Raw genomic sequence first — 21,534 nt, forward strand, 5'->3', positions numbered from 1 at the left:
ATCTAGCTATCCCAGACTGAGGATCTCAGACCACAAGCAGGCATTAGCTGTTGTAAAGTAGATGTACACTTTAGAAGAAAATTTTAGGTAATCTATAGTCATTGACAGCTTAGTTTATGAAAGTGTCATATTGGCTCCAGGTACTAAATTGGAATCTATGAGAAATGACTCCTATACCGATCAATTATTATGTGAGTCCCTATTAGGGGAAGAGATGAGAACATAAGGAATTATCTTCGGAGGCCCTATATTGTTAGGCACATTTTCCCATGCATTTATGGATTAATTAGTATTTGATAACCCACCTCCACTACATAACATTTTTGTTTGCTTCTCCTCTTATGGCATTGTAAAAATCTAACTGCCTGCATTTTAAATAAGAACATATTACTGCTCTTAACTGAAATACCTCAAACATCAGCAGAAATGTGTCATAGCGTCCTTTTTGCATCCTCTGTACTTTATGGCTTCTCAGGCATCTGGCTGTGAGAATAAGCCAAGAGCAGACATTCATAGGCTTATCCTGTGAGGAAATATATACAGGTGTCGTTTCTGAACTGGGTGGTCCCTGGATCTGAAATTTGATTACTTAAAATAATTCTGGCTACTTATTTATTGGAAACGTGAGCATGTGACACACAGTTCTCCAACTGCTAACAATAAGGAATTTCCAGTGGCCTCATCAATAGGCTGTCCTTGGAGTATGGTGGAGAAGAGTGCGGGCCCTTGTGCCAAATGGCTGGATTTCGATTCTCACTCCACTCTTATTTGCTCTTTTACTTTGAAGAAGTTGCTTAATCTCTCTATGTATCAGTTTTCTCATGTGAGAAATAGATTCACTCTGTTCTCATGAGGTTAAATAAATAAGACATGGAAATTACTTGGAACTGAACAGACAGCAAGCAGTATATAATTGACAGGGAAAATCAGCTCCGGTCTATTGTGCACATTTATGTCACTGTAGTCATCCTCCACAGGCTTGGGCGAAAGGAGTTAAGATAAACACACTCATTTCTATCTTTGGCTTAGATATTTCCTTCTGTTTTCTGATTGAAAAATGTATTATATAGGAGTTGAAAAAAAAACCATTTTGAACAATAATAGTACCATAGATGGGGACCCTAGAACTCAGAAACCACATGAGAGCATTGGATATGGAAATTAAAAGAGTAATTGCCTAACTTCTTTTGCTGACTATTGTCCTGGCTGATAAACGAGCTTTTTTAAGACTTCCAGTCTGATTTCCCACATGGTAACAGTTATACATGGGCACAGCATCCTTGAGTTGATTGAAGAGAGGAAAACAAAATGTTGTCTGTGAGTGCCTCTATCAGTCCCTGGCTTTGGGAGTTGCTTTGAACGCAAGCTTTCTTACAGTGATCATTATTGGTGTGATAAGGGAGCAATGGCTTAGTTGTCGACTATCATGGTTCAGATGCCTCTAAAGACGTTAAGTGTCTTTTGCGACTCTGATATTCCATCTCACATTTCCCTCTTCTATGTTGTCCGATCCCATTCTTTAATGATAGCAAAGTGTAACACACTTACAGGGTGTTGTATCCTCTTCAAATCTTTTCAGAACTGATTTAATACCATTTTATGGGCCTGTGCAATTCATCCAAACCCTTAAATCATTTTTCTTTCCCCAGCTTAAACCCTTTCAATTCTATACCTCCACTGATAAAGGCTTAACATTATAACGATTTAAGTCGTTCTTGCTCTGAGATGTGTAAATGGAAATAACTGCTGTATCATTGCCAGTGTTTATCATGAGATTATTTTTGGAGGACATCATAGAGTACTAAAACAACCAACATTTACCAAATCCTATTTTCATATTTAGAAAATGTCTTCGAACAGGAAATAACAATTGTGGCCAAGTTAACTGTGACTTGCTTCCAGTATATTTTCAGCAGCATTATTTTTAGTATAACCAAAGCCTTACATTGCACATATTACTTTTCTTCAAAAACAAATATTGAAAAACAAACAAAAATGTTTTTCATTGTTCATTGCTTATAAAACAAAGTCAAAATGTTTTACCTTTTTTGCTTAGTTATATTCTTCTCTAGTCTATTCCATTTCTATAAACTCAACGTTTTTCTTTATTTAGTGTAACTACTTGTCATTGCCTTTTAAGTACATCAGTCATAACTCTTTCCCCCTCTTCTCCTAACATCATTCTTATCATTGAGGCATAATTATTTTGGCACCTCCTATTTTCCCTGTTCTTTAGAAATAATTTTTGTTTAGTATTCATTGTTACAGGGCTTACTGTAACTGGTACAGTGCCTCGTGTAGATACTCACTAAATATTTCCTGAAAACTGACTGAGCACATAAATAAAAAGAGCATCTAATATAGACTAGAAGTGCTGTTATTCTGGTTCTGTCTCTAAAATATGCCTTTGGGTAAGTGTGGCAGACAGACTCTTAAGAGGATCCTCATCTCCTGATGTTCACACCCTTATGTGATCCCGTCCCTTTGAGCGTAGGCAGGACTATGATACACTTCTTCTTCTTTTTATTTTTAAAGACAGATTCTGGCTCTGTCATTCAGGCTGAAGTGCACTGGCATGATCATAACTCACTGCAGCACTGAACTCCTGGGCTCCAGGGATCCTCCTGCTTTGGCCTCCCAAAGCATTGGGATTACAGGCGTGAGCCATCACAACCTGCCTTGTTTACATACAATTCAGCAACGTGACAAGATGCATCTGATCACAGATTACATTACATCATACTGCAGTGCTTGTCTTGCTGGGGTTTCTCTTTCTTCCTTGCTGACTTTGAGGAAGCATGTGGCCAACTTGGGGACCCCCGATGGTAAGGAACTGTGGATAGCCTTGAGGAAATGAGAGTGTCCTCTAAGAAATAGCCTCAGTTCTGTGACCACAAGTAGATGAATTCTTTCAGTGCCTGAGTGAATTTGAATGTGGGTCTTCCCTGGTTGAGACTCAGATGAGCTGCAGCCTTGGCTGACACCTTGGTTGAAGATGTCTTCTGAAGATGCTAAGGAGAGGACCCAGATAAACTGCCCAGACTCATGATTCACGAAAATTGTGATAAAATAAATGTGGATTGTTTCAAGCTGCTAAGTTTGTGGTAATATTATTACATAGCAATAGATAACTAATACAGTAAGTAACTCACTGAATATTGGTCTCAATAGTTGCAAAATGTGAATAGAACTATATATCCTACTTTAGCCATAGGATTTTAAAAAGCAGTTAAAATGAGAAGACAATATATATATGTACCTTAAAATGTTAAAATACTATATAAGCATTGTATTTTAAGAGAAACACTTCACAAATGTGATCCATTTATTCCTCTAGCAACACTTTAAAGGATATATTATCCCTATTTTATAGTTAGAGGAATTAATATAACTATTTTACAGATGAAGAATATGAACAAGAAAGAGGTCAATTAACCAGCTTAAGACAACATAGACTATAAATGGCAGGGCTAAGATTTAAATTAACAAATATTAAATTCCAAACTCTGGGCTTTTCCTACTGATCCCTAGTAAAATGAAGTATGTTGAAAACCATGTAGGATCAATACTTGTGTTTGTATCTTTTCAGCAGTCAACTGGGCAGATTCAGCATTTTAAAATAGTTTTAATATCGCAGTTCTTAGGTTTAATAAAACCATTCCCCTAAAACATGGTCACAAATGCTATGTCCCTTAACAAATTAATTCAACAACCACCACCACAACAAGTATTTATTCAGGGCTTACTATGTGCCAGGGCATCTTCTGAGGATATAACATACCTCAATTAACAAGAAATGGAAATCAAAACTTTTTACCAAAACTTTTAATTGATGATCTCTTTCAACAGAATTTGTGACTGAAATGAATCTTGAAACCTCATTTCTGTTCTTCATTATGCTAAGAGCTGGTTATATCATTTTACGGAAATTGTGACTAAGCATGAAAGAAGCCCAGAGGCTCGTGCAGATGGTGCCAATAGCAAATAACATTAACCTCTAAATTCTTCTTGGTCTATGGGTGAAGGGACTTGTTGGAAGGGTTATTTCTGACCTTTTGATTGGACTTACTGTTTCCCAGACTTACTGTTTTGATCGGACTTACTGTTTTGATCGGACTTACTGTTTCCTTACTGGGTTGGAGAACCCAGCATCCAGTGGGCTATTCTATCAGCCAGTGAACTCCTGATGACAGAAAAACAAGAAACAGGCCCCAATCTGTTTATTTTTCTAGATGCCTAACTTATTCATCAATTAGAAGGGCCAATGCTTTAACCTGTCTCTTCTCAGCAGTGAAAAGAAAGAAAAAAAGACTAAGCCAGGAAACCTCTTGAAGGCCCAGAGAAGTAGGCACGTATATAAGGTGAGTCCTTTACCTGCAGTACATTAATTTCAATTCTATTAGGGAAGAAATAGGAATCCCTACTTCAGCATCAGGTCTAAATTCCATTCTTCTATTCAATGTCATCAAAACAATTGATATGTTAAGCCCTATGTGGTTGTGTGTGCAGTTCTCAATCAGTTGGGATGTGGAGGGCAAGAGGGATGAGTGATTGGCACCCAGAATTGCTAATAGTGCCCTTTAGCTACTAAAAATGATCTTCCCCTTCCCGCTTTGGGAGTGCCTTTATTGAATTCCTTTTGGAAATATATGAAAATGACTCCCAAACCTATACCACTCTTTGTTCATCTAATTCTAGTCCAACTGTCCCCAACTTCCAACTGTTTACAAAGTGTTTCCAGTTGAAGGCCCTATAGTATTAATACATTGAAATTAAGTGTTGATTGATTCCTAAACTTTGATGATGAGCATCACTTGGAGAGCTTGTTAAACCTATAACTTCTCAGCTCCTTTCCCAGAGGGTCTTGTTGGGATCCTAGAATTTGTATTTTTAATCAGTACTCCAGGTAATGCTTATGCTACAAGAATGTTTAATGAAGTGTGATTGACTTGAGGAGCTGAGAGAACTCTCAATTACTCCTTGGCAATCTCTCTTCTCCCTCCTTAATGAGCATAGTGCACCATGAGAACCATACTAGACTTGGCACCTAGAGAACCAACTTACCCGCAGCCATCTTTGGTGTTGGGGATGCTTATATCCTACTAATTCCTCCTCTAATAGTAATTTTATAACAAGCCTCTTTATGTATCAGAACCTTTCTTCAATCAGATTGTCCCAGAATAAGAAAAATGTCTTATTATGAAAAATTACAAACATATACACAAATAGGGAGAATAGTTTAATAAAACTCAATACATCCATTGCTAGCTTCAACAATGAACCATTCACAGCTAATATTGTTTCATCTATACCTCACTCATTTTTCCTCACCCCTGACTCTTTCAAAACATATTTGAGACACCAGATCATTTCATTCATAAATATTTCAGTTATGAATGTCTAAAAAATATATATTTTAAAAAGAATACCATTATCACACATATAAAATAAACAATAATTCCCTGCTATTACCAAATTTCTAGTCAGTCTCTGTTAAGTTGTTATCAAATGTCTATCTATATTTTGTTTGTACAATGAGGTTCCAAATAAGGAACATACATTGAATTTGGAATATATCTCTTAGGTCTGTCCCTCTTCATATCTTTTTTTATCCTTGCTATTTATTTGTTGAAGAAACTAGATTATTTTTCTTTTAATATTTACTGCGGATGTTGATTGCATTTTCTCTGTTCCTTTTGTTTCCTGTAGGTTGAAGTTTGAGTTAGATAGTTGATCAGATTCAGGTTCTGATCTTTGAGCCAGAACACTTCCAAGGTAGAATTGTTTTTTTCCACTAAAAGCACATCATGTCTGCTTGTCTTTTTGTGAGGTTAGCAACTATTGATTATCAAACATCTGGGTTCATTATTTCATTATGCTACATTATATGTATTATAGTGATATTCCAATTTTCTCATTTCGTCTTTATACAGTAGCTAGAATGTTACCTATAAGGAGAAACTTCATCAATTCCTTATTTGCCCTGAGGTATATTTCTTTTAAGAAAGGCAAGGGAGATACCTGATATTTTCCCTATATATATCAATTTTTCAGTGTAATAATCAGGTTTCTAACCATCCTTCAAACATGACCTGTGAGTTTTTGAAAATAAATATTATGTTATATTTTTAAGAATTTAAACACATTTAAAATCCTATCCATTGCCATTATTATCCTCAGTGATGCTTATATTTTTTGAGTTCCTCTCTCAGGTTTTTTTTTTGTTGTTGTTGTTGTTTTTGTTTCTCAATGCCTCTTTTGCCTTTCAGTACACTATAAAACCAAATGTCACATGTTATATGTGAACCAAGTGCCATTCAGTGAGCTTTTGCCCCAAATGGCTTACCTAGTCCAGTGATGCCTGGAAGAAGAGTGGGACTAAGTGTCAACACTGCTCTGTGTCAGATATATGAGTCTGGAGTTAAAAGAGACTGAGCTTGAAACTCAAGATTCAGGAATAACTTTCTCCTAATTAGTATTTAAAATAAGACAATGAGACTCCCCAGGGAGCCTGAAGAAATGAGAAAAAGGCCACACTCCCAGATTACACAAACATTCTCTGCCCACATTAAAGAGTGGGCAGAGAAAACAGAGCAAGGGAAGGACGTAGAGAACTGCATGAGAAGAAACTGAGCAACAAGGATGGGGCAATTTGAGAGAAGCCAGAGATGGAGGAAGGAAGACTTTAGAGGCTCACCACTGCATGAGGATGTACAGTCTTTTGAACTTGTTTTTTTAACAGGCAATTGGTGACCTTCATCCAATCAATAGCATAGCTCAAATTAATCAGGCAACATGCCCCAAAATCATAGTAGACAAAAGGCTGAGTGAAGATCCAAACCCAAGTAGTCAGACTCCAAATAGTCTTCTCTGGCTACTGTGCAATGCTGATCAGTCAGCTGCATTGTAGTTTCCATGGAAAATTGCTATTGACATTATCCCTGGAGGTCTAATTCATTATAATGGAATCCTAGCTAGATGGGATTTAGAGTTTTCTTGGAAGTCCCTGATGGCTGCAATACAGATCTGAATCTCCACACTCCTGGCCTCATAAAATATTAGGATTTAGGCCACATTCTCTAGATCTTCTGGCACTTATATCCTCTGCTCTGAAGTAGAATCCTTTGGTCCATAGTTGCCCTAGAATAAACTAGTATCTGTGTGGAGTAGGAAGGGGAAAAAGAACACTCATATGAGTGCCTTCATCTGTGTGCATACATATGCAGCTGACATTTCTCTCATCAAGGACTGCCAAACCATTTTCTGAGTGCTCAACCACAATTATAAACACCTCGCAGGTAGAACTGCTCCTAGGAAAAATTGGAGCTCCGATAGGAACACTGGCCTTGACAGAGAGAAGGCTTGGTTAGTTCCAGATTCCCCAGTTCTGATATTACCGTGGCTTTATAGGTCAAGAATAAGAAAAAGCCGTCATATGATCCAGCAATCCCATTATTTGGTATTTATCCAAAGGAAAGGAAATAAATGTATCGAAGAGATATCTGCACGCCCATGCATATTGCAGCACTATTCACAACAGTCATGATACAGAAACCAGCCAAGTGTCTAGCAACAGATGAATGAATAAAGAAAATGTGATATATATGCGCAATGGAATATATTCAGCCCAAAGAAGAATGAAATCCTGTAATTCATGGCAACATGGATGAGCCAGGAGGACTTTGTGTTAAGTAATATAAGTCAGGAACAGAAAGATAAATACTGCATGTTTTCACTTATATGGGGAAACTAAAAAATTGATGTCATAGAAGTAAAGAGTAGAATGGGTTACTTGAGTCTGGGAGGGGTAGGGGGAAGGTGAGGCTAGGGAGAGATTTGTTAAAAGATACGAAATTATAGCTACATAAAAGGAGTAAGTTCTAGTGTTCTATAGCACTGTGGGATAACTGCCGTTAACAATAACACATATTTCCAAATAGCTAGAAGAGAGAATATAGAATATTCCCAATATAAAGGAATGATAAATGTTTGAGATTATGAAATGCTAATTACCCTGATCACCATACAATATATGTATTGAAACAGCATTATGTACCCTTATAAATATACATAATTATGTGCCAATTTAAAAAGAAATTTTTTTGAAAAAATAAAATAAAAATTCATAGAAATTTTAAGAAATAAGAAGGAGAAGTGGTACTATTTTAGAAACATGCTTCTAATCAGAGAGCCAGAACTCTAGATATTTTGCCCCAATCAACTTATCTGCATTTTTTCCCAAAACTCCTCCTCCTAAGATTTCTAATCTGGTGATACTTGTCATTGTACTATCTGTTCTCAAATGATGCTCCTTTTACAGATAATTCTTTCCCTTCCAAATCCTGTTCATTCATTCATTCATTCATTCATTCATTCATTCATTGCTTTACTTCCTCATTTAGCAAGTATGATTTTGCTGATGCTGTTCCTTCTCTCTGGGGTCCCCTATCCTTCCCACTCTCTAGAGAGCTTTATCTTTCTCATCCTATTGTCTCACCATACTGGACTAAGTGACCCTCTTCTGTTCTCCAATTACACTCTCTTCATACCACCATCATGGCACCTCATGTTGGAGTTACCGGTTTTCTCTTTGAGTAGGGTCTCTGAATAAGGGGGAATACTTTATATGTGATGTGTTTCACATATGTAGGAGTTCAATAACAAATATTTGTTATATCAAAAAATGTTTGTTTAGATCTCAGTCTATGAAAATCACCTAATCCTATCTGTGTTTGAGCTGTCTAAATTCAGGAGTTGGTATGGTCTGAAATACCAAAGAAACAGAACTCCGAGCTCTTAGCATTTATTTGACTTAGTAGTTACATTTATATCTATAATATTCAATAAAAGCCTCCAATATGTGCCTGGGAGTGTACATGTACATGTGTTAGGGGAAGGAGTATATGGGAACTATATGCAGGCACATTCAGTAAGTCCTTTAAGAATACAGAAGAGAGAGATAGCACTTCTAACATTAAAGGTGAATCTTAGATCTCTCTTTCCTGCTCCCATCCTCTCTTTATGTATTTGAGTCTCTTTGTTTTAAATGTTTATAACATTAACTACTTGCAGGGCCCAATAGACACTGAAAAAGATTTTCCATATGAATAGCATACTTAGTGCATTTTTGGGTTACACTTTATACAACACAAGAGCCAACGTGATGTCTTATATTTATGTGTTGCCTTCAAGATGCCCAGACTGGAGCTGCCACATAGGAGACACTTGGTGAGCTCTCAAGGAAGATTGGATGTCTATGGAGAATCCACGTACCTATATCATATTAGTTGGAGCAAAACACAGACTCTGGGATGAAAGGCAAAAGTGTTATAATGAGGCCAATGGAATGTGCTGAATCCGTTCCTCAAAGAAAAACAAAACCAAATATCTCTCCAAGTCTGGATTATACCAGAGTTTCCAAATCATAAACAACCAATGAAAAAGGGATCATATCATTATGCGTTTCTACAAGGCCTTACTGAGGTAAGATGATGGAATAATGATGACTGCGTTTTTTGGAGGAAGCTTATCGTGCCCTGTGAGAGAGTTTAAATGTGTATTTAGTGTTTGAAAGACTTCCCACATATGAGAGAGACACTCAACAAAAAGTAATTGTGTCTTGAATAATTTTTACACCACCGACAGAGACAAAAAATGACCATCTATTTATATTTCTAAGAATTATTCTTTTTCATTGTGTTCATAAAATGTGGTTTCTTGAATGTCTAGAAGAAATGTCATCCCTAAATATTTAATAATATTGGGTTTCCAACTTGAAAAGAAGAAAAAATTGAAAGAAAAAGAGAATACTTTCAGTGGCAATTATTTGAATTTTTGATGCCTGCTTCCTTTTCCAAAGACAGTAATTGCTTCTTAACAAATTAATCTGGCTGTATATATTCAGCTTTCTGGTTAGCCTTTGCCATTTTCATCTGGTGATGTCCCTTTTATAAAATTTATGGGGCTCATTTTATAAAATTGTGGAGATTTGCTTAGTATGTTTGGAATTGGTATGTCTTTCTCTCTCTAGCTCTGCTCTCGGAATAGCTCTAACCCCCCCAAAAGGGCAAGAACCGGTTTTAATAATGCAGAATTATGCCTCTTTACTAACTACTGAATACGCTTTATTTCGGATGCCAAACCAGGTACTCAGAAGTTTAACATCATAAATCTTAAAATCATAAATCAGACAAGGTAACTTTCTAGTATATGTTTCATGATGAAAGGTAAAATACTAATGGTGCTATATAAACATGACATTCTCTAAATTGAATATAGTGTGCAATTTTCATGGCTTTGTTTTAAAATTTAATGCTTGAGAATAATCATTTTATTTATTGGGCCTCTAAACTAAGTGCATTTAGGCAGTGAAGAAAGTTGTTTGGTACCAGGTAAATGAGCAGGTTTCTTTCTTCACTGGAAGACAAACTTCTGAATTACTGATAGGCATTTCAGTCTTAACAAAAGCTACACTTACAATTTTCTGAACAATTGTTGTGAGATTTCACACATTGATCAAAACACTGATTCAAAATACTCTCATTGTAATTGGTTTGTGGCCCTTTTGTACCTTTTTGCTGCTACTGGACCATTGCTGGCCACTGGACCAATGTCAAGTCATGTTTTGGTGTCTTCTCTTTGGAGAAATCAAACCACTCCATGAACATTGACACCTACATGGCCTTTTTCAACAAGTTAGCCATTGGTTCACAACCAATTCTGGTTCTTGCTCTAATATTAATTATTTTGTGTTACTGATCAAGTTGATTAACTGCTCAGGGCTCTAGTTTTCTTATTTATAAAATGCAGGGGTCTGATGGTGTTTTCTAAAATCCTTTCCAGCTCTGAAATGCTATCACTTTATAGGATCAAATGAAATAATATTAAGTACTGTCTGAACACAGAGGCTAATAATGTAGATGAAGCTGATAAAAGGAGGGAAAAGGGTTGAAAGTTTTCACCTATTTAGCCACAGAATTATTAATTATGCCAGGATTTCAAATATTCTCTGCTAAGAGGAAGGAGTGCCAGGGAATGATCTTTAATAACATGGTTCTACAATGCTACTCATTTTCTATAATATATATTTAAGATTGATATTGCTATTTCTGGCACCTTCCACCAAAAAAAAAGAGACAAAAGGAAAGAAAGGAAGAGGAAAAGAAAGAGAGAGAAAGAAAGAAAAAGAGAAAAAAGAAAGAAAAAGAGAAAATGATATTCAATACTCACTAGTGACTCTAGAGTTAGAAGATGTGTTGTACAGGAACAGAAAACCAAACACCGCATGTTCTTACTCATAGGTGGAAGTTGAACAATGAGAGGACATGGACACAGGGAGGGGAACATCACACACCAGGGCCTGTCAGGGGGTGGGGGACAAGGGGAGGGAGAGCATTAGGACAAATATCTAATGCTTAAAACCCAGATGATGATTTGATAGGTGCAGCAAACCACCATGGCACATTTGTACCTATGTAACAAACCTGCACAATTTGCACATGTGTCCCAGGACTTAAAGTAAAAAAAAAAAAAAAAAAAAAAAAAAGTTTTGTCATTGGATTTATTTTTCTCTATAGCTATATTGTTGCTCCATTTTACAAGGCTACCGTGGCCAATGTTGGCTTTTCTGCTTTTTGTTTTGGGCTGTGTGCCTCCTTCATGTAATGTGAAAATTCCAGCTGCGTGCTTAATGTTGTCAAATAAATTTCTTTCAAGGTTCCTTTTGCTATTCTGAGTATGTATGATCTGGAAAACTTTACAAAATGCTCTGCCCTTTTCTTCCTTCTTTCCTTCATTTCTTCGTTTCTCTCTTCCTTAATCTTTCTTGTCCCTGCCAACCCAGTAAATTCTTCTGCTTTTGAATCAACTTTTATTCTACGGACATTTATTATGAAAATAGATGGAGTGTGTGAACCCAAAGGTCAGTGACCGGCTTAGATAAACACGGACAGTCATTTACTAGAGGAAGGAGGATAGGTAATCCTGCGAGAGAGATGATGTCAGAGACATATGGTACTGAATTCATCATCTTCTGCCCCCTTCTACTCATCTCTACATTTGTAGCCACCTGGCTGTGGAATACCTCGTTATGCAAGCCTCAGCCCAGGACACTTGAGACCTTGAACCATTTCAACACTTAGCTCAAGGAGAATGACAATTCCTTCAGAAATTCTAATTTGTGGAAGTATTAACTGTCTCCTTCTAGAGGATGTGATTAAACTCTATGCAATGACAAGAGGCATATCAATCAAAATATAAATTCTAAAAATTATTCACCAAATATCAGCTCAGTACCTATTAAATAGTCTCACCTGATGTAGTATATTTTCATGCATTTTTGATTGTCTAGCCTCCATATCTCTTTTGATAATCACATTTAATTTTCCACTAGGACGATGGTTTTTAAAAATTTTTAAAGAAACCTATAAAAAGAATGTGTTTAACACTGCAACCTAGTAAACACTGTATCCTACAAAACACAGATTTTATGAAGTAATATTTATCTTCATTACCTGTGAGATCCTCTAATAGTTTTCCTCTTTTCTCTTCACATTTTTCTCCTCTATGCCATTCCCTTGTATTCTTTCTACTAAAAGTAGAAACAAACACAAAAACAAAATGAAAAATGTGTTTGGTTGCAACTCACTAAATTGATTTCATGATTCACTAATTATATGCCCCATTGTTTGAAAAATTGCCCTGCAGAAACACCTTTTCCTCTATGCTCAACACATGTGCTCTGGTGAAATTCACAAAACTCCTAGACCTAATCATGGAGCATATGAAGTAACACAGTCCACGCATAGTGTTCCCCTGCATATGGGATGTATTGCACTATGTAAATGTGACTTAACCCTGTTGAATCACACTGAATCTTTGTTGTGCAGTAGGTCATTCTCTCCTTTCTGCTAGACTTGAGGCAGTGAAGACATAGTCTGAGGATGCTGCAGCCATTTCCCACAAAAGATAAGATTTCTGTCTGAAAATGAAACTTAAGGAGAAGAGCAAAGCCTGTCTAAGACACAGAGGAACTTAGTCCTAAATCTGAATTTAAACCAAGTATCAAAGTATACCTGAAACCAGTGAGCTTAGTTACAGGACTTTCTAGTTATAAGAGTTATGAGAACTGTTATATTTCATTTTGGCTTTAAAGTGTTCCTCAGTGAATCACCTATAGACAATAGGAGGGTAGAGAAAATGGCCTCTAGTTTCCAAGTTTACTTTCAAATAACATTATTTTGCTTTGTGGATAGTGCAAGTACCTTATAACCTATAAATAGGCAGAATATTCCCTATTTCTGCCTCCCACTTCTTGTAACATTGCTCTGGTCATTTCAATTAACCATAAGCTATAATCATCAAGTACATTGTTGCTATTATTATTTTAAACCGATTTGGTTAAACCAATTAAACATTTAAAAAATGCTTTATTTACCTTAGTTTATTCCTTCTCTAATGCTCTTCCTTTTTTTCAATGTAGATATGAGTTTCTGACTTATAAAATTTTTCTTCTTTTCTGAAGAACTTCCTTTTAACATTTCTTGCAAAACTGATGTACTGATGGCAAATTTCCTCAATTTTTGTTCAAGAAAAGCTATTTCTCCTTACTTTTGAAGGATCATTTTACTGAATACAGAATTCTATGTTGGTGTATTTTTTATTTCAACACCTTAAATATTTCACTTCACTTTCTTCTTGCCTGGCTTCTGAAGAAAATTTCTAAGTAATTCTTATCCTTATTCTTCTACAGGTAAGATGTTTAGCCTCAGCTCTCCCCTACCCCCCAGCTTCTTTTAAGATTTTTTTGTTATCTTTGATTTTCTGTAATTGGAATATACTATGTCTAGGTATAGATTTTCATTTAGAATTTATACTGCTAGGTGTTCTCTGAGTTCTGTGAGTTCTGTTGAGTTTCCTGAATCTGTGGTTTGGTGTCTGTCATTAATTTTGAAAAATTCTCAGTCATTATTACTTCAAATATATTTACTATCCCTTTCTCTATTTTCTTTCTGATATTCACATTGCATGTATGTTACATATTTTGTAACTGTCCCTCGGGTTACATATATCTTATTCTGAATTTTTTATTCTTTTTTTTTTCTGTCTTTGTATTTCAGTTTGAGAAGTTTCTATTACCATATCTTCAAGCTCAACAATTTTTTTTCTTTGACTTTGTCCAGTCTCCTGATGAGCCCTTCAAAGACATGCTTCATTTCTGTTAAAGTGTTTTTAATTTCTAGCATTTCCTTTTAATTATGTATCACTCTTTCTTAAAGTTTCCATGTCTCTGCTTACATCATGCATCTGTTCTTCCATGTTGCCCGCCTTTTCTATTAGAACCACTAGTATATTAATCATAGTTGTTTTCAATTCCCAGTTCAATAATCCCAGCAGTTTTGACACATCTGAGTCTGGTTCTGTTGCTCGTTCTGTCTCCACAGACTATAAGTTTTGTCTTTTACCATGTTATTTTTTGTTGAAAGCTGGACATGAAACACTGAATAAAAGACACTGAATAAAGATAGGCCTTTTATGTGAGGCTTTATGTTTGTCTGGCTAGAGGTTAGGTTATGTTTACTATTCGCTTTAGCTGTGACATCAAAAGCTAATTTTTTTTCTAGTGTCTTTGTTTTTGTCTCCCGTGTTGTCTTTGGGTACCCCTAGAGACTCCCCCTTAAATAGAATCTGAGGCATGCAGTTCTTTTAGTTGTAATCCTCTATCATTGTATAGAAGGGGTAGCATTCTACAGTCCTAAGATTAGGCCACAGTCTTTTAGTGAGCCTGAATTGGGTTTCCCTTCTCCATGTCAAAGGCTAGATGGGGCTGTAGTTGGGTATTTCCTTCACCTAGGTCATGCTAGGTTAGGCTCTGGTAAAATTCTAAATGATTCTGGTTAAATAATTTCCTTGAGTGCAAGACTTGTTAAAGAGAACAAAACTTGCTCCATAAATTTTAAAATATTTACCATCTCCTCTTCCTGCTGGATGTACGAGGGGATTTTTCTCCAATTTCACTGTGAGAATCTGGTAGGGTTCCTAAGGGTAAAACTCCAATGAGACCCTAAGAATGAGCCCTACCTGAGCTTTTAACTTCTATGCTAATCCACACCAAGCCTCCAGCAACTCATCATTTACAGTTTAAAGTGTTTCCACCAATACCAGCGTCAGCTCTGGGCATCTGCTCCTGGGCTCTGCTGCAAGTAAGCTGTGCTTCTCCGTATTTGCTTGTCTGTCTCTCCAGTTTTGACAGCAGCAATTTTCCCCATGACCTAAGTTCTCTGATATATCTAAGAACGGTTGCTGAGTTTCACTTTGTTCTGCTTTTTCCTTATTGTGAGGATAGGAGTTATGACTTCCAAGAACTTTACATATTGGACAAGATACTGGAAGGCCATGATCTCCATTTTCAAGAGAATAACGAATATCACATACCAGGCACTTACATATTATATCACGTAAGAGTCATGAAATACTACTATGGAGATCATCCCCATTTTACAGAGTAGAGAACTAAGGTTGAGGAAAGTTAATCAACTGGTCCAAGATTACATAGGTACTAAGTTATAGAGTTAGAATTAGCATAGGCTTGATTCTAAAGCTGTTACTATTATCTTCCAGTAAGAATATGACAATAATGTAGAAGCAAGGACAGCACACAAGTAATGTTAATTTTGAGAGGAGAGTGGGGTCCAGTTAAAGGAAAATCGTCATACCAGGAAAGGTGGCAGTAACATGTTGAGTGTGTGTGTAGGTTTCTTCAGCTTGAATAAGTAGTTTGATTGTGTAGTGGAACAGGAGAAGGCTGGAGGGGCATGTTTGGTGCAGAAGATTGTGGTATTTGTTTTCTTAAAGTAGTTTTACTTTAGTTTTAATTAAAGGGAGGACTTTTTTTTAATGCATCTAGAAAACACTATCCTTTCCCAAGGCTAAAGGGATAATCACTTATACATTCAATTATGTAACTCCCCAAAGAATGAACAATATTTAATGAACTACAGGTGCACAAAAAATATCTTTGATTTTAACAACATGTGCCCTCTATATGTGAAGACTTTCTGCAGTGTAAGGTGGGTTGCCAGTTTCGTAGCGTTGCATGTTTTTGGGGAAGGTGAAGAGAACAGTATTGTTTCTCATTTAATTTTCAGTATTATAAAAGCTTATGTCTCCATTTCCTCCAAAAACATCTGTTAAACTACAAAGCTAATTCAAGCAAACAAAAGAACTTGAAAGAAAGACCAAATGCTCTGTCTCCAAGAAGACATATTTAGCCTGGCTCTAATTGACATTCATATGCATTCAAAAGCAATTAAACTCTCAAAAAAAGCAGCACAACAACAGGAGTCTGGAACTAGCCTTGTTTTTAAGCATTTTAGAGTTCCATTTCAGGGAAGGAAGGCCTGCAGAGCCTGTTTCCATTAGCTGTTGTATTTCTAGCTCTGTAAGACAGTAAACAGTCAGTCTTCTCAGGTGCTATTTTTTGGGAAAATTTCAGACTTGATTAAAAACAATAAAAGAAAAAAAATCTTACCACCTCAACCACCAATCTAAAGTAGCCCCCACTTCTAGGGATTTTATCCCTACATTCTAATTCATTCATGGTGCTTATAACTGTCAGGAAATATTTGTGTACATGTTTATTTTATATCTCCCCCATTATAAGGTAAGTTCAATGAGAGCTGGAACCTTACCTGCTGTACATCCCACTCCCTTGCCACTTATAGGTGTTCAACGAATATTTTTAAATGAATAAATAAATGAGTGAGTAGAATTTCTGTTCCTAGAGTAATAGAAATTATAGTCAAGTCTTGCTCGAATCTTACGTTACCATTACATTTCAGTTTACTGTTTTACTTCTTGACATTGAAAGTCTTGGCTGTGGCAGACTTATTGGTGTGTTATAATTTTGGTGTATGTTACATAAACTCTTCCCATCCTCCTAGTTTAGCTGCTGATAACCCTTCCAGATTTGAACTGATCAGAGGAGGAATAATAAGTACATTTTATTCTTTGTGTTTAAGTTCAAAAGGCACTCTCAGGTATAAGGAAACAAAAATTGAAAATGAGAATAAATGTGATAGATCCAATTTCCTTCCACCTAGATCCCTGAATAAAGCCACTTAAAAATCTTCTAGCCAAGATCGTGTTACTGCACTCCAGCCTGGTGACAGAGCGAGACTCCATCTAAAAAAAAAAAAAAAAAAAAAAATCTTCTAATCAGGGTAAGGAGGAGATTAGCAGGTAGGTCATTTATTGGGTTTGTGACACTGTGTGCATGAACCCCCACCTCGGCAATATTGAGGCTGAGAATGAGGTTGACAAATATGAGCAGGAATGGAGTGTAGCTGAGCTTTGCTTGTCCAGCCCAGAGTCCCTATGATAGGCAGGGGACACGTGATGTGTCTCTTGTCTACAAGGCGGCAGGAATTATAGAGATGCTCAGAGGTTTGCATCTCTATAAAAATGAGATGCAAAGTGAGTTTATGTTTGTAACTCAAAGCCTTCTACAGCATCAGGATGAGCTGTCCTAATAGACTAACCATCCCAGTGCTCGTAAGTAAGATACAGAAGGGCTAAGGGAGGGCTGAAAAAGCTCAAAAGGCCTGAGAATGTGAGCAAGGAAGAATCCAAGTAAGTGTATGAGGCTACAAGCTAAATACTAGGCAGGGGTTTGGATACCTCAGTGAAGTTACAGGAACAGAGTTCATCAATCAAAATCCTTAACCTGATGACTGGTCACCACAGTGAGTGTCGGCATGAAGAGAATGTGTTTGAAGACCACATAAGAAAAGGTATAGTATCTCACAGATTGCCAGTTTAGGATATAACCATAGTGAAACTATGGAATGGTGGTTCTCATTCTTCATTATTGCTTTTGTAGTGGCAGTTGTTCAAATTTTCTAGAGATTTAAATCAATATGGGGAAAAGGGAGACAGAGAATAAAATCTGAGAGTGATTTTAAAATTTGAATATGACTGCATTATAAACCTGAATTGAATGAGAAGTGACTAAATGGGAAGAAATTTACCTGAAAGCAACTTGATATCAGTTTTCTGCTACTGAGAAGAATGGAAGCTTAATGATAGAAATTATATTTGACTATAGAAAAATAAGTTACATTTTTGCATATATCAGTTTGTGGTTACATTTGAATCCATTATATAGTCCCAGCAATTTTTCTTTTATGGTTTCAATTTCTGATGATTTTCTTTTTTAATCTACTAGCACTTATTTGTATGTTCTACCTTTGTTTCTGGAACCATTCGTCATTCAACTATTTCATCAATAGTTTTTAAAACAATGTGGGAAACAGTGCAGTAAAGTCAAGAGGCAGAGAAGCACTTACTCACTGTAGTTAAAAGAATAGCATTCCTTTCCTTAGTCCTTTCTTTCTGTCTTTGCTTGCTGAAATATCCTCCCCTTTCAACCTAATCAAATTGTATTGAGTAAGACTTCATTTAGATTTTACCACTTCAATTCCAATTTCCTGGCTACTCAAGCCCACGATGTGATCCCTTCCTCTAAACTCTTAAAGTATGTGCAGTCTCTACCTTCAAGTTAAGAACTGAATTATAATAGCCCATCTTTGTTGTCTGTTGTTTTCTTCAAAATAATTTCTTTTCTAATTTTGTCAGTTAGACTCTCCAATTCAAGTGAGCTCCCTAAGATCTTCTTTGAACACAAGGTCTTACATTTAGATTCAAAGTAACATTTTGATTTAGAATTAAAGTTGAGTGGGTTTACATAACCTGGGTGGCTCTAAACCCAACCAATCAACTAATTCCTTTCAAAGGAGTAGATCAATATGATCCCAATTTGAGATATCATAACTCATACTAAATTCAAAGCATGTTTAATCAATTTAACACGTAATGTGCTTTCTAAATGGCATAATATTGGGTGGATTTCTGTGGCAATAAAAAGGTGGGTAGAATTTACATCCTACATTAATAGGATTTTTGTTCTTGATTCTAACACAGTCACATTAATCCAGCAAAACCCTGCCTTGGCCCTTTCTAGTCTCTTTCTCTGCCTTTCCCACCACTTAGCGTGCTAGATGTAGGTACCTGAGGACACATTCAGATCTAAATCCATTCAGAGAATGGGGTGTGTTTAATAAAAGTAGTAATGCAATTGCTTGGATCACTGCCCTCAGGGAAGTGTAAAAGTTGTATTGAGATTCAAAGTGAAGAATAGAAAAAAAAAATACTTCTTGCCTGGTTTTTAAATCAAATCCCAGGCTAAAAGTTGAGAATATGTTTGAGTTTGCTTCAGCATTGCTGAAGTCCTATTCTTGATGTTATGTCCAGTGACTTAGTAATCTTTTATTGGAATATGTGAATTAGATATTCTTTCAAGTCACTTTTCATAGGCATCCAGATGGGTGATGGAGATAGATTTGTACCCATCATCTGACCATCACTCTGGCTCTTATTCGACTTGGCAGGTTTGATGAAGAGCTGTATTTGCACATTGGCAGATTCTTTGATGGGCCTATTTTTAATATTGACGACATGAGGTGACTTTCCCACTTTGAGCTTTTTGTTTACAGAAATTTGACCTCCATCCTTACTTTCTTATGCATATTATTACAGTTCTTTTCCATCTTTTGCATCTGCAGTGTTGGTCAAATCTTTAACAGTTACTAAACATGATTATGATGCCATCTTTATTATGATTCTAGTGACACATGTGTCCTATGTTGAAAAGATTGCACTAGTAACATCAGAAAGGATTCTTCTATTTAACTTGCAGGGTGTCATCATGCTGCTGCCTTAATATAAGTCTTCAAAGGTTCTTTCCCTTCCTTTCCATTACCTTCATTGAAGTGAATTTGTTTTACTCTCCTTCCTAAATAATGACATGCTGGATTGTGGCAGCGGTGAGTAATCTAAAAAGATAGCCCCTCTTTCATGGCAAGGAAGTTATGTTGGAACTGTTAGGGACTGCTAGGACACATTGCTATTTCCATGATTAGACAAATTGTTGTTGGAAAACTACCAACAGAGACTGGTTTCATTTGCCTGTTGCCTTGAGTGAGGAAGTCTAAGAACATCAAGAAGTTATCAAGGAGCCAGAATAATTTAAAACCATCTTGGTGTTTTGGAAGGGGTGTTGTTTATTGCTTAATGACATGTGAGTTTTACTCCTCTGGTGGACATTTTACTGCTTTTAATTTTGAGTCACATCAGCATACTTTAGAGTGACATTTTAATTTGTCCTTTCTATGGCTCTAAGGCTACCAGTAAGGCCCTGCGAAACTGCATTTAGCATTAGAGCTACAGATAATCTATTCCTACATTTGAGCCATATATAATCAAGGTTATTTTCTACTCTTATCTATGGAAATGTTTCCATCACTTGATAAAACTTTGAAATTCGCCAGTGGTACCTATTTTACCGTCAATTGGAATGGGCTTAGAGATACATTGTACATTCAGTGTTCACAACTTTTTCTAAGTGAATGGTGTAGCCTGTAATATCATCACACTTCTGAATTGCACATTTGTTGCTAGAAAATGAGAATATACATCTTTACATAAATGTTAATCCTGAAAGAATAATTTGAATTGTGTATTTGTGAAAAATATTCTAAAAGTAAACTTCTGGGTTGGAAATGGAAGAATAGGTCATGGAAATATGTTCTGGTAAATGGACAATTATTTTGATTTTTGGTTAGTGTTTGCTTGTTTGTTTGTTTGTTTTTTGAGACAGGATCTCACTGTCTCACTCTGTTGCCTTGCCTGGAGTGCAGTGACACAATCATGGCTCACTGCAACCTTGATCTCTCCTGGCTCAGGTGATCCACCCACCTCAGCCTCCCAAATAGCTGGGACTACCAGCATATGCTACCACACCTGGCTCCTTTTTGTATTTTTTGTAGAGATGGGGTCTCACTATATTGCCCTTACTGGTCTTTAACTCCTGGGCTCAGGCAATTGGCCCACCTTAACCTCCCAAAGTGCTAGAATTACAGATGTGAGCCACCGCACCCAGCTGGAAAATTTTTCATATACATTTAGCTACACTTGTTTCTGAATTTCCATTAGCACGGCAAAAAAGCATTAATATCCAGGGAAAAACATTTTATGTCAGGCCAAGACACCAGAATGAGTGCCAGCTGCCAGTCAAAAGTTGGATGGGATATACTATAAGATAAAGTCAGTTTGAGGAAGGGCTGGCCAGTGGGCAATTCATTTTATGAGAAAGAAAAATCTTCCTGAGAAGAGAAATGAAAGAGGCTCCTAAAAGAACACTACTAGCAACCATGAACTTGGAGCAGCTAGAAAAGGAGACTGAGGGCCGGGCGCAATGCCTCATGCCTGTAATCCCAGCACTTTGGGAGGCCGTGGCGGGCAGATCACAAGGTCAGGGGATCGAGACCATCCTGGCTAACATGGTAAAACCCCATCTCCACTAAAAATACAAAAAATTAGCCAGGCGTGGTGGCACACACCTGTAGTCCCAGCTACTCGGGAGGCTAAGACAGGAAAATCGCTTGAACCTGGGAGGTGGATGTTGCAGTGAGCCGAGAT

General features: G+C 36.7%; 1 long non-coding RNA gene across 1 annotated transcript, besides 1 other annotated feature; it reads left to right on the forward strand.

Moving 5' to 3' along the window:
• The first annotated feature begins 4,265 nt into the window (after positions 1–4,265).
• Positions 4,266–9,651, forward strand: LOC107984020 (uncharacterized). Its single transcript, XR_001739324.1, has 3 exons — positions 4,266–4,361; positions 5,710–5,830; positions 9,193–9,651. It is a non-coding gene; the product is annotated as an uncharacterized LOC107984020 (long non-coding RNA).
• Positions 16,072–16,573: an enhancer, noted in NCBI's record as "NANOG hESC enhancer chr2:21794527-21795028 (GRCh37/hg19 assembly coordinates)". NCBI's record gives its function as "activates a minimal SCP1, AML or CMV promoter by ChIP-STARR-seq in primed H9 embryonic stem cells {active_cell/tissue: H9 hESC(primed)}" and the evidence as "EXISTENCE:reporter gene assay evidence [ECO:0000049][PMID:30033119]".

Source organism: Homo sapiens, chromosome 2 (genome assembly GCF_000001405.40).
Source record: "Homo sapiens chromosome 2, GRCh38.p14 Primary Assembly".
Classification (NCBI taxonomy): Eukaryota; Metazoa; Chordata; class Mammalia; order Primates; family Hominidae; genus Homo; species Homo sapiens.